This window comes from Homo sapiens, chromosome 6 (genome assembly GCF_000001405.40).
Source record: "Homo sapiens chromosome 6, GRCh38.p14 Primary Assembly".
In the NCBI taxonomy this organism is placed as follows: domain Eukaryota; kingdom Metazoa; phylum Chordata; class Mammalia; order Primates; family Hominidae; genus Homo; species Homo sapiens.
The window spans coordinates 150,613,572-150,628,114 of NC_000006.12; the positions used below are offsets into that span (position 1 = coordinate 150,613,572).

General features: G+C 42.0%; 1 protein-coding gene across 8 annotated transcripts in view, besides 1 other annotated feature; it reads left to right on the forward strand.

Moving 5' to 3' along the window:
- Positions 1-14,543, forward strand: part of PLEKHG1 (pleckstrin homology and RhoGEF domain containing G1) — a 243,781-nt gene that overhangs the window by 13,687 nt on the left and 215,551 nt on the right. The window lies entirely within an intron of this gene.
- Positions 9,107-10,136: an enhancer, noted in NCBI's record as "amplified fragment containing the chr6:150943814-150944844 (GRCh37) CAGE-defined region". NCBI's record gives its function as "transcribed enhancer in B cells {active_cell/tissue: B cell}" and the evidence as "EXISTENCE:reporter gene assay evidence [ECO:0000049][PMID:24670763]".

A 14,543-nucleotide genomic window follows, 5' to 3' on the forward strand; every position in this document is an offset into this window, starting at 1 on the left:
GTGGGTGCGAGGGGAAGCAGTAGAAAACATCCACTTTCTTCCTCCATCCTTGCCCATACCCTCCTGGCTTCTGAAGAGGCTTCCATAGGAGGGCCGCCTGGCTTCTTGGCCTCAGAGTCCGCTCTCCAGCACTGTCCTACCCAGAAAGCCTTACTCATCGCTCTCCCCGAATCTTCCCTCCACTCCATTCAGGTTACTCCTTCTTACTGTGCCTTATTCCCCTCTAGTATCCTCCAGCACCAAACAGCATCTCACGAATGGCAGACACCCGAAAACATCAGGCCACTGGTTTATCTAGGTCTGCGTTTTTTCTCGTTTATCCAACTGAGAAATCTTCTTTATAACTACCACACAATTAACACCTCTAATAAAAATAAGTTAGTCAGATTTCCCTGTTAAGCAGAGGGTTTTGGTCTATTTTGTTCACTACCACACCTGAAATGTATAATAGGCACTGCAGTATTTAAATGGATGAATGAATGGGTTGTATTTGGAAAGTTATTTTTGGAAGTCAGCACCACAAAAAATATTATAAATGCTGATTGTGATCTTGAGCTCATAAAAGAAAACCTACTTGACTCACAATGTGGCAGAGACGTACGATAGCTCTAATGTTTATGAGTGCTGTAGAGCTAACACCTTTAGAGCTCTAACTTGGCCTAGGCTATCTTTGAACCTGACTCTATTGCCTCAGAAGGGTCTGAAATCCCACCTCTCCTCCCCTTCTTGAACAGGCAATGAAGGTCACGTAGTTCACACTCACAGAGTTGGATGGACTCTTTTGACTAGGAACCGTACTATTTTCTAGCTAGTTCTTCATGCATAAAATGGGAGATAATTATAACTACTGTACAGGATCATGATGAACATGTAATAATAATGGAGAAAGTGTTACACAGTGCTTGGCCGTTAGCAGCTGTTTTATGGACAGTGGTGGTCTTTCCACTGTCATCAAGCCACTGTTGTTGGCAACCAAATCAAGAGTTCCCAAGACAGAGGGGAAGGCCCCTGACAGTTGATTGGGTCAAAGGGCTACCAAGCAGAAGTTGGTCCTCAACAGTGTCATCTCCCCAGGCCTCCCAGACCCTCCGTCCACACTCCTGGCTCTCCCTCACTCTCCCTCCCTCTCTCTCATTCGCTCTTTAGGGTTGACTCTGCGGCATTCTTCATTTTTGCTGTGGTCTCCTGCGGAGTGGAAAAGTTGTGTTACAGTCTTACTTCTGGTCAGTGCACCACCCTTCTGAGAGTTTTTACTGGATAGTTTTTACTGCTATTGAGGAGACTTAAAGAAACACTTATATATTCTCTTTTGAGTAAACACTAGGGAAAATTAGTCACATGAAAATCAGATTTTATGCTATCCTGTAGGTCTGGAGGATTGTATCACCTCTCTGAAATTAGAGCTGTATTCCTAAAAACCTCCGAATGAATGACCGAATTACCCTTTAGATTCATATCCAGGTGAAATTGTTGTCAGGCACATTGGGCTCCTTAATAAAATTTCAAGGTCACAAGTAGTCATCAGTAACACATTGGCAAATCATTTCTCTAAATCAGTTTAGATAGAAGGTTTGTTTTTCCTCTCTGGCATTCATCTGATGCTTAGAAATGCCTTTGCGACTTCATGGTTTGAAGAAGTTGCTCTGTACTTCCAGGACCACACCTTGGTCTGAGGCAGATTATCCGGTATTTGAGATGAATAAAGCTCTGGATAACCTATAACCTCAGCAGAGCTCAGTCCCCCTCCATAGCACAGAGGGATTCAAAGCATTAGACCAACTCTGATAACTTTCTACTGGAATGTACACCATTGAGCTTTCTTCTCTGATATGTCTGTGGCCCTACCCTCAAATGCACCCCAAAGCCAGAGTTCTCTGTTAACTCTCCCTTGGCCTTCTTTACTCCTCCAAAAGCTGGCACCTGGTTTATTTCTCATTTTCCTGCATTGCAGCCCCTTCATCTTTCTAAATCTCCCGAATATAAATCTTATATATTGATTTAAATTCTCATAACAGAAAATACTATACAGATATAAAATCACATAGGCTAGAATTTCCTGTGAGAAGAATCAGACTGAGGAGGGATTTCAGTGGCCGAGTCTACTAGAAAGAGTAGAATGGAAATTCTACCGAGGAATAAGCAGACCGGATATGAGGACAACGAGGGCAATGGAGAGGGGAGGAGGTGGTTAGGAAGCTTTACCTATGGTTCCCATTGGCCTCCTGCCTTGCAGTTTTCTGTTGTACCAAGAAGTAGCAGATGCTGGATTGATTGGTACAGTGGTGATGATAGCTTATCACCACTAGTCCAGGTGATGACTGAGCACTCACTAGTCCAGGTGATGTTCCAGAGGCTTGTCATATGTTTACTAATTTCATGCTCACAAGAACTTTGAATATATGCAGTTATTTCCACTTCACAGATGAGGAAACTGAGGCAAGCAAAAGATGAGGTAACTTGTCCAAAGACACCCAGCTAATCAATGGCAGTGTTGGGATCAGTGCCCAACAGACTGGCCCCAGATCTGAAGCTCATAGTATGCTTGGTGTTATGAGCTAGGACTGCAAGTGAGAAAAAAAACAAACAGTGGTTGAGAAGAGAAATTCACTTTTTTGCCCCACAGATCTTAGTCACTCCAAGGCTAGTGTAGGTGGCTCTCTGCAATTAGAGACCAAGTTCTCTTATCTTATTGCCCTGAGACATGCCATCTTTGTTATAGGCAGCTACATACCTAGTTAAAATTGAGGATGGTATTGTTGTAGAAGGAAAGAGTAGCTGGCAGACCACTCACTTGGGAAGAGAAAAGGAAGGTACCATTAGAAGATGTGGCAGTTGGGAGGGAGGCAAGGATGCCTTTGGCCAGCATTGCTGAACTGTACTGCTCATGTGCCTTGCAAAGCTGGGGCTCATGTTGGCTATTAAAGTACTTGATCAACTATTGAGGTGTCTTCTCTAGAGAAAAAAAGCCATATTTAAAATGTTCAACTTTTGGTGGGATGCCCCACTTAAGTACAAATAAATACTAGAGCTAGTATTTAATTAACAACTAGGCATTTCCAATGAAGATTTCATTTGGCAAGGGTTGTTTACTGAAAAATTCAGAAGCATTCTCTTCTGGAGAGGAAACGTCTAAAGATGTGAGTCTTCTTGGGTTATCAATCTTTCATGGTGACATCAGGAAACCCTGAAAAGTAATATGCACTACTTGCCTGCTTCAGCTTACTGTCTTGTAAGAACACGTTCATCTCACAAAGAGGTGTACTAATCAGACTCCTGTTTGAAAGACTGAATTTGTTAAAGAAATGATTGAGGTTGCAGTATTCTCAATCTATAAAAATCACTGGTAAATGTTGAAGTTCTAGAATTATGACCTCAATTGAGGGAGATGTGATTTAAATATCAAGAAGATTAAAAAGAAAATCAAGAACTTGGAATATAATGATTTTTACCAACATTAAGAATTTGAAGAAGTGCAATTAATGTAAGTTGTATATTTTCAGATATTTAAATTCTGTGAATTTTCTTGCATTGCATATTCCCAGAGAATTACAGGAAATCCTTTGTAACAGGGTATCCTGAGTTTGGAGGGTTTGTTAAGTTAAAAAAACACTCATTTGGTGGTATGCTTCTGGTGAAGATTATAGAATCCATTATGCTTCACTGAGTTTGAAGAATAACAATCACTTTAATCACACTTGTTTTCATGGTGGCCCAGAGAAGAATTAAGAGACTTCCTTTTTAAAAAGTTTTTGCTAAGACAGCGCTTTTATCCTCCAGTTGAGTCAACGGAATTGTTGTTTCTATTGGAATTTCAAAATCAAACTTGATGCCCTAGTGAAATTTAAAAGTAAATTGATGAGAAGTAATTAACCAGTTAATTACGAGTGTGGCAGAATCCACTTGTACTTTTAAATGTTTTTAATGACCTCAAAAGTCTGGAGGCTTTTAGAAGAAGACTGTTAATGTCATGAACCTTTGGAAGTAGAGACCTCCAAATCTCCTTGTCTCTGTTTCCCATAGAACTCAGTAAGGTTTGGGGCTAATTTGAAGGTGTTTATCTCTTTCCGGCTGCCGAAGAAAGTTGAGAACAGTGATCCTGATGGTGAGCGGTGAATACAGCTGCCAACTGCTCTAAGTCAGCTTGTGAAGCCAGGCAAGAGAGCCTTCACCAGGGCTTAAAATGCAGAGGATTTCCTTCCATTCTTTGAGGACATTTGACAGACAAACCTATTGCAGCTTATTGATGGGTATATCAGCAGCCATTGTTTTGTGTAAGGCCTGGGGTGTGGGAACAGGTCTTAAGGGGAGCAAGAATACATTGAAACACAGGAGCACTGGAAAGCTTATATGGTGTGTGCTGGTTAATGTTTAACAACCTACTGGAATGGAGGTGGGAGACTCAGCATGCGTGTGAGTGTGTATGCACACATGAGCCATTACATATACACACATATACATATAAGTTTATTATAAATTATACTCATAGAATGTGTGATACAATTTGCAAATAGTAATTTATATTGATTCTCATAGAAGCTCTTGTTGATGTTTGCAAACTTTTTATGTTAGTAACTGACCTATTAATAGGTGAATGTAGTTTTGACCTGAATATTGTTTGATATTTTCTTTTACATTAATGAGTAAGACAAAAGTGAAACAATGAAGATGATGTCAGAACTTTACTCATTTGCCAGTGACACGAGTGACTCCTCTGCTGAATTGAATGATTGTTTTTGAATGCTGGATGAATATTTTGGCTTTTTCTGTGTGTGCTATTTATACAACATGGTGGCTACAGACACAGCACATCTTTATGTTTAATCTGTATTATTAACATGTTCTCCAGGCCTGATTCGTAATGTTTGCCAATATCCATGGTGTGGAAATATTCCCACTGTGGCTGATATCAAGCTGCCAGTGTGACATTAAATTCAGAGTGGGGAAGAGATGTGCAGTATTGCACCGTTTGTCTAGTATCTCTACCACATAGATGCAATAGATGTAAATAACCCTAAGAGCATAGATGATAGTAAAATGCAGGGAAATAATTAAGAAGTGATGAGTTTTGGGCATTATACCTTTGTTTTTAATAGGATTTATTTAATTTTAAATGTATATTATTTACTCTTTAATAATGGCTTCAACACCTGGCTTACAAAATTTCTGACATTTAACAGCTGGCTCTTGTGAGTTGGTACAGAAATAAAAGGGAAGAAATGATGGAAAGGGAAAAACAGGCTGGATGCTCAAAATCCCAACACTTTTGGAAGTCAAGATGGGGAGGATAGCTTGAGACCAGGCATTCGAGACTAGCTTGGACAGCATAGCAAGACCCTGTCTCTATAAAGAAAATTTTTTTTAAATTATTTGGGCATGGTGGCAGTATCTGTAGTTCCAGCTACTCCAGAGGCTGAGACTGGAGGATTGCTTGATCCCGGGAAGTCAAGGCTGTGGTTAGCTGTGATTGCACCACGCACTCCAGCCTGGGCAATAGAGTAACATCCTGTCTCTAAAAAAAGAAAAAGAAAAAACAGTTCAGACTTACTTTGGGAACAGATCCTGGACAATTTGACTCAAATGATGGCCCTTTCTCAAAATTCAACGAGAGATCCATTTGAGCTAGAGACGTTTGGGTTTAGGGGAGGGCGTTCAAAGGTCATCTGAGTTTTGCACTCAGTTTCTCCTTCCAGTGGTCTCCTTTGCACTTTAGCACCCCTGCCTGCGTTCGCCTTTCCCACCTCCGCACCTCCCTGCCCTCTGCCCCATAAATGCTGTTGCATTCTTTCATTCTCCCTTCTTCTGCCTTGTAGAGTCTTTTTAAAGCATTCTTCATCCTTGTGTCTTTCTGATGTCCATCATCCAGCTCAGGAAACCAGTGACTCCAAATTCCTGCTGCCTTGGAGGGCAATAGAAACTCATACAACTGGTCATAGATGTTTTTCTGACACAGTTTCATCTGAATTAATTGAGTGTTGACTGCTTTATTCCTGATACCCACTGAGATGCTTCATACCAAGGGAACAGATGATGAAGGGCATAGAAGGCAGTTTGGGAGCAGGGAGCTTTTGCAGACATAAGGCAGCTTTTATGGAGCAGGAGTGAGAGGAAGTACAGGGGTAAAGAAAATAAAATGTGTGCTTCTGGATGCTTTCTTTAGCCAGTCATAAAAGAAAAAAGGTTCTTTTTTCTTTCACCCTTCTACATTATGTTCTTCACAGCTCCAGGGACCAGGGCTTAGGATAGCGCTACTCCACTTCTCATAGGAGCACATGGTAAAAACCAGCTCTCAGTTTTGGCTGAGATGACAGGTCTTTTAGACAACAGCCCATTTACTGCTTGACTGCTTATAGTTTGAGGGCATAAATTGATGTCTTTTTCCTAAAAGGTGTGTTTTGAATTAAGGAGAGTGTTTCCACACGTTTTTGTTATCTCATTAACACCAGCATTTATGATGCTGCATTTTCTGTATATGTATTATCGTTTATTTGGTCACAATCACACAATCATTACACATTTCATATTTTTGTTTTTTGTCTTTGTGTTTATTTTTATTGTGTTTATTTTCTTGTGTATATTTTTTATAACTTTTATTGTGTTTTTAATCTGAAAGGGGATTTTCGTGTGGGTGAATGGAAAGAAAAACAACAATTTCGGTTTGATTGTTAGAAATAATTCTAAGCCTGTATTTCCCAAAGTCCTTCACTGGCCCTGGGCAGGGAGCCCTGAATACTGGGAGGCCTGACAGCGTTTCTCTCCAAGGAAGACACCGCTACTCAGAAGCACCTCAGCTCTGCTGACTCCAGGCTGTGCCCAGGCCAGACCTAGTGGGTCTTGATCAGGGAAGAGATTGCTGCTGCAACCTGGCCTGTCCTTTGTCCCCCCAGACCCCTTCAGTATTTGTGCAAGAGGGGAAGGGCTCTATGTAAACACTGTCACTCCCTCTATGGCCATCGGGCCCTCCACACCCACTTATTCCAACTGGAGGGTAAACAGAGCCAATTGTGTGTTCTGTTTTGCTTGTCTTTTAAATTGCCAGATCTTACTGACTTGACTTACCTATTTTCAAAAATTGGTCTATTTCTGCTGTTAGGAGGACTGTATGTCTATATGTGTGTTCATTCAGCAAATATCTCTATACCCGTTTTGTGCCAGGCATCAATCAGTTGCACCATGCATTTGGGATATAAGGGAGACAGAACGGAGGCTCTGCCCTCGTGGGGTTTGCAATCTCTACAAGAGACATTACAAACAAGGGAACATCAGATATTATGAGAAATGATCAGTGCCATGAAGAATGGGAGAGAGAATGAATTGAGATTGGAGAGAGTCTCTCTTAGGAACACCCAAATAAAACTTGGTTGTTCATAACCTGAAGAAGGAAATAAAACAATGCAATTTATCCTGCCTCTGACAACAAGGGAAAACCTTTGGCCTCTCTTGGATTGAATCTCTAAGTTCCTGACTTTAGTCTCTCTGTGCCTCAGTTTTCTACCTTTAAAATGAATTTAATAATGGTCACAAACTCCTGGAGTTGTTGCAAAGAGTCATTAATACTGGCAATGTGCTTAGAGTGGGGCCTGACAAGTAGAAGTAGTAGGACTTGATATAATTATGTACAGGAATGATGGTTGGTGAGGGTCCAGCATTTGTGCAAGAAGGCCGTGTTCCAGAGTGTCAGACTCTGGGGCTGTTGCTTTGCTAGGAGATAATAAAAGTCACAACCTCTCTGAATATCAGCTTCCCTTTTTGACACATGGGTTCCTATTAGTTTTACCACCTCAGGGGCTTTTGTGGCACAAATCAATTTTTTTTTTTTTTTTTGAGATGGAGTCTCACTCTGTTGCCCAGGCTGGAATACAGTGGCACAATCTCGGCTCACTGCAACCTCCACCTCCTGGGTTCAGGCGGTTCTCCTGCCTCAGCTTCCCGAGTAGCTGGAATTACAGGCCTATGCCACCACACCCAGCTAATTTTTCTATTTTTAGTAGAGTCGGGGTTTCACCATGTTGGCCAGGCTAGTCTTGAACTCCTGACCTCAAGTGATCCTCCAGCCTTAGCCTCCCAAAGTGCTAGGATTACAGGTGTGAGCCACCATGCCTGGCTGGCACAAATCACTTTAAACACTATAAGCCCGCAATTTGAAAACTGGGAAATACTAAATGAGTGTAGATGATGTTATTGAGCAATAACACGGACCATTAGTGACCTATTTGAATATATGGTTATGAGTGCTGTCCAAATGTACATCTGTCATCATTTGTGCTACACATCTTGTTCTGTTTACTTCGATGTCTGTTTTCTGCTAAGGTAACATCTTATGACTTGAACACGTTACAGTTCATTACCTGGTCTTACCGTGTTGCGTCCAGAACTGTTGTGTGAGTTGCAGTTAACCTTGAGCTGTAGGTAAGAGATGCACATTTGAATCCAACTCATATTTGAGGCTCTGATTCCCTTACTTCTCCCTAATACCATTTCCTCCTCCGAGAGCTCTGTCCACACCTGGGGTCAGCTTGGTTGTGCCAGCCAACACTTTGTGTTATATCAGACGGAAGGGAGCAGAGAGCTGAATGAGCCTATCATGCTGTGGGGTCTCAGATGTATATAATTTTGTTAAGTGAATGAATCTCAATAAAAGCCAACATGTTATATGGGCACTCTTCTACATGCTGTGGTGAGGGGTAATTTTGGCCCAAAGGTAAAGAATAATAAATTAGTATGTTATACTACTTTCAGTAACAAAGAGGCAACATTCCCAGCCTTAATTTTTTTTTAAATTTGCAAAAATCAAAATGACTAGAGACACCAGGCTGTGTTTTAGTGTGTGGGCAGCTTGGTGGGTCACCCATCCTGTGCCTGTACCCCATTCCCCATGGGTACTCTTTTGGTGCCAGAGCTTCCCAGGCAGCATAGAGCCACCTCCGGAATTCTCCCCACCCTACCACTGTTCTGAGTTAGGTTACTGGGATGAACCCCAGAGCCCACCCTTCAGTAATAAGACAATACTCAGATGCCATTTCCACCCCTCACCAGCCTCCCCCTCCCAGTGTAGACAGAATTAGTAGGAACCTCTGACGGATCCCCTAATCACCTCCAACAGGTTTTGTTCAAGGACAAGTTACTTCTACAGGATGTGTTCCTCTAGGCATCCTCTGCCCTAGGTTCATTTCGTTGTGTTGATGGTGTTTTGCCACTGCAGGAGATTGGACAATTTTTCTATAAGTTGAAATTTAAAATCAGCAAATGTTTCTCTCAAGATCTCCTGAGTTCGTAATACCATGTAAGACCCTTTTAGAAGATAGAAAAACAAAGAGGGAGTTTTGTAGTGGCATCCCCCCTCTCAGGGAAAAAGACTTGGTCAACTGCATTGTTTGAGCCAGTCTATTAGAGAAGAGGGGAGGCGGCACTTCCTTTTGTGTCCAATAGATATGGGTTCTTAATGAGCATCTTTTTTTTTTTTTTCTCTGTAGGAAATGAGCGCAGAAGCTTGTTGAGGCCACTTCTGCTTCTGTTGTTTGTGTTAAGTATCCTGTATGTCAATGACACATTCTTGAGGTTTCACTTCTCCCTACCCCAGGCCTCACTTGAATATAATTCATCAAATGACACTGAAATCACATCTGATGTTATCATTGCCTTCAACCACACAGGTGCAGCCAGAAAGAGGAAAACAGATGGGAAGTCTTGTTTCATTTCATTTTGCAAGTTAAATAACCTTGGGGAAAAACACTTGACCTGGTTTTGTGAGAGCTTGGCTGTTGGGTTCTTCAGTAGTGTTTTATGAGAAGGTAGCACCTGCGTCCTCCATCAGCACCCTTTTAACGGGCAAGCACATCACGCAAATAACAAATGTCGCATGCCTTTTATGTGTCAGGCGGCCTGTAATGATCAGATGATGAGGCAGGTCAACTGGCATTCTCTGTAGTTTTCCAGTGGGAACTCCAGGTCTCAAACTCACGTATCTATTAAGTAGTAGAAGCAGAACTAGAAATTAGTTCTCTTCCCTTCTAATCCAGTGTTCAGCCCTTGCGCGTACTGCAAACGGACAGCAGAGTTGGCCTCAGGCCCCCCACGTGTGCACTGTACAATTGTGGTGCTCTTTTTCAGCCTATTCACGAGGTTTGTGTTTGGATCGCATGGCCTTGCCACTGCCTCTGTCTTCACCCAGCCAGACCCACACGTTTGTCATGTGCCTCTCTGAGCATCCGAGGCTGCAGCGACCTGTTTACCGTGCTGCCCTGTGGTATTGGGCTTTTGGAGGTCACTGTGCATGTGTATGTATGATGAAGTTTTATATCAACCTAAAAACACCTACTCAAGGAGGAAAACAGAATCTTCAATGTGTCTTAAATCTCCAGTTAAGCTGTGCACAGTGGTTACAGAATGTCACAGCAGTTGAGCTGGATGCAGTAATAACGCCTTATCAGATTAATGTATTAGATTATAGGTTTCTTAAGCTTCTGGAACCATAGCGATGGCTAATTGAAAAGGATCATCTATGTTAGGCACAATCCTCATGTAAGATCCTGCAGTGACTACATGGTGCTGTAGAATTTATTACACATTTCTCATTCTGAGCCTCATCCCTGAATAAGACCCTAACCTCCTGTTCCAGGTCTTTCTCCCAATACTGACCTATTCAAAGCCCTGTGCTCCAGGCAGTCTGGAGGTGCCTGGGCCTTGGGGGTGCTGCTGCCTTCGCTCAGGGGCCCTCACACCCTGCCTATCTCTGCTTCTTGTCTCCAGGATCCTCCCCTCCCCAACAAGGGACTCCCATTGCAGGCAACCTTGCCTCTCCCTCCCACATCCTCAACACTCGAGCCCCATGAGTAAAGGACTCTTACTCTTCATGAGTAAAGGAGGTCTTCCGTCCTATGGAGCACCTAGCAATGTGACTGCTATAGGACAGCCTCTTAAGAAATTCAGCCAGGACGATTTTACTTTGCAAAGTACAGTAGGGTGATGATTATCATCGTGATGGCTCCTGGAGGCATAGCCATCAGTTCTTCATCCTTACTTCCAACAGAAACCTGTGGATTTCTGTTTGGATTAAGGAATGAGAGGGACATTTGCTGAAAACTTTCTATGCACCAACACTTTCATAGAATTTTTTTTTTCTCAGTTGTCACCACAGTCGGCCTCACTTCAACAACAGCAGGCAGTGTTGGCTGGTGTCTCTGATGAGGAAAGTGAAGCCTAGAAATAAGGAATTCACTTCAAAGGCACCTTGTACGAATTTCATACTTGAAATCCAGTTTGGCTGAAATAAAAGCCTGTGATTTTTTTCATAACAACTAAGTATAATGGATAAAATTTGGTTAATTAAAGATTTTTTTAGGCCAGGCGTGGTGGCTCACTTCTGTAATCCCAACACTTTGGGAGGCCAAGGCAGGCAGATCACTTGAGGTCAGAAGTTTGAGATCAGCCTGGCCAACATGGCAAAACCCCGTCTCTATTAAAAATATGAAAATTAGCCAGACTAAAATTGCCTGAACCCAGGAGGCGGAGGTTGCAGTGAGCCAAGATCGTGCCACTGCACTCCAGCCTGAGCTACAGAGTGAGACTCCATCTCAAAAAAAAAAAATGGATTTTTTAAAAACTATAAAATAAGTTTAGAAGAGTATATTTATTTGCTAGGTCTACCATAACAAAGTACCATTGCCTGGGTGGCTTCAATGACAGAAATATATTTTCTCACAGTTCTGGAGGCTGGAATTCCAAGATGAAGGTGTTAGCAGGGTTGTTTCTTCGCAGGGTTGTTTCTTCTGAGGCCTCCTTTGCTTGCAGATACTGTCTTCTCCCTGTGTCGTTACATGGTGGTCCCTCTGTGTGTGTCTGTGTCCTGATCTCCTCTTAGTATGGGAACACCAGTCATAATGGATTAGGGCTCATCCTAAGGACCTCATTTTACCTTAATCATCTCTCTCTTTTTTTTTAAGTGACAGAGTTGCACTCTTGTCACCCAGGCTGGAGTGCAGTGGTGCAATCTTGGCTCACTGCAACCTCTGCCTCCTGGGTTCAAGTGATTCTCCTGCCTCAGCCTCCTGAGTAGCTGGGATTACAGGCATGCACCACCATGCCTGGCTAATTTTTTGTATTTTTAGTAAAGATGGGGTTTCACCATGTTGGCCAGGCTGGTCTCGAACTCCTGACCTCAAGTGATCTGCCCACCTCGGCCCTGCAAAGTGCTGGGATTACAGGCATGAGCCATCATGCCCAGTCTTCAATCATCTCTTTAAAGACCCTAGTTCCAAATAAAGTTACATTCTCATTTACCAGGGGCTAGGACTTCAACATATGAATTTGGGGGAGGCACACTTCAGCCCATGACAGACACAACTGGATATTAGATGATGTTATGGAATTCTTGGTACTTTTTTCAGGTATCATAATGGCTTGTGGTTCTGTAGGAAGATGTCATGGGGGGATGCATGATGAAATATGTTGGGATGAGGAGTGATAGAGAATTGCACATTAATTTCAAAGGTTCCATACCAGCAGAAGTGTTTGTGGGGGTGATGAAAAAACTGCAAAGGCACCACGATGGCAAGTAAGTTATGCAACATAGGCCATTGTGGGGCGGGGGGCGGGGGGTCTGTTGTACAAAATGCATAAGATCTCCTGAGGGCCAGCAAGAAAGACAAAAAGGGTCTGTAAGAAGGCTCATATTTTGTTTCCGTTAAGGAATAGAGAGAGATACTAAGGCACTGTAGATTTGCCTAAAGAAAGGGTGTTATCTTCAGAGGCCTTCAGGCGAAGGCTCAGAGTTCCATGGCCAGCTGAGCTTCAGTGTGGTCTCTCCTGAAGGAGAACTCGCCATGCTGACCTTGGACGTTCCATTGACGCCTCGGGATCAGGAGTCTGTCTCGATCTGTGTGTCTGCCTGCGAAGGGGCGTTGGGGACACCAGAACATGTGCTCTGTCTCTGTTTACTGCCGGGCTCTCCGGAGTGAAGGGTAAATCTCCGGCCTGCTGCACCATGTTGGTTAATTCACATTTTCTGATGCTTTAAGGGCTTCAGATGTACCCTGCTGGCAAGCATTTTTTGTTTCTAAGGTTCATTCATGACACCACCCAAGATAAGTAAAGCTCTTTGGGGAGGTGCGTGTAAATTCCATTTCAGAAGGGCTCAAAGGCACACAAGCAATTCAAGCCCATCGTTTGAGATTCATGAAGGACAATATCCTACCAAGAGTTAAGAGTAGTTCCATTCCATTTGCATACCACACTGTGTGTGTGTATGTGTATGTGTGTGTGCGTGTGTGTGTGTTTTGTATTTTTACCCCCATTGTAGGTCTAGGTTACATGAAACTATAACCTGAAGTTAAATATCTTTGTGCTCAACCATTAGTAAACTCAGGAAAGCTTGTGAAAGAATAGTAGCAACTAAACCATTCTTTATAGTGCATGGGACATGCTGGGAAAAAGGGGCGAGGGAAGGCCACCACTGGGACTCTGGGGTGTGGCGTGATCTCTTGTAATAGATCAAGGGAAGAAGAATTTGCTCGTGAACCCTGTTTCAAGAGATGTGATACAACAAGTTAAATCAGCAAGTCCATATCAGACATGTTTGTTTATACTGTGTCAAATTCTGGACAAAATATTTATTTGAAAGATAAAAAATATTTAGGTCTTAAAAGGCACTTTTTGTGGCAGTCAGAGATGTCAAGTTTTTAATCATTTCTCTTCCTAAGCTGTATTTAAAATCTGCAAAATCTATTCTTAAAATATACTTATGAGTGACTCAAAAGCATCACTTTACTCCTTAATTTTGCTAACACTGCAATATTCTCTGTTCTGATTGAAAATTTTTCTTCAAAAATAAGGTTATCAGGGTTTCTTCCACTCAGAAGGGTGGACATTTCCACAGATTATTGTAGTGCAGATCCCAAGGGTGAAGAGAAACAAAACTTGAGCTTACAAATAGCAGTGGCCTTTAAAAAAAAATCAACACCAACATCATTTTTGAGAATAAAACTTAAACATCTGGTTTTCTTCTGGGAAACTGCACTTCTTTTTTTTAACCGTAATCTTAAAAAAAAGTATTTACTAGTCCGCAAGCAGGAAGTTAAGAGAATGACTGCATACCTGAAAAATCCAACGTTGACACATAGATTTTGTTTTTTAGGATCACAAGTATAATAAAACTGGATATAAATGTATCCTGCCTGGCAGAATTGCATATAAATATCTGTGTCAACATATGTTTGCCACAATTAGGAAAGGTTTCCATCACCCTCTTGCCTTGAGCACTAGTGGAAGAGTTTATTGCCATCTGTGATCATTAGAAACTGAAATCCAAGATTACATAGATAATAATAAACAACTGCTGCCTTGTCTTCCAAACGTGCTGCTGAGTAATATGCAGGGCGTTTTATGGGATGCAGACTTCATTCTGTTTTAAGAACTGATATGGGCCTACATTAATATTTATTTAAATGATATCCTGTAACCACACAATAATGGGATTTTAAAATAGAACCCACTCTTGTACAGAATAAATATTGTGAATTCAATTATTCTTATATCTGGCATATGGGCAA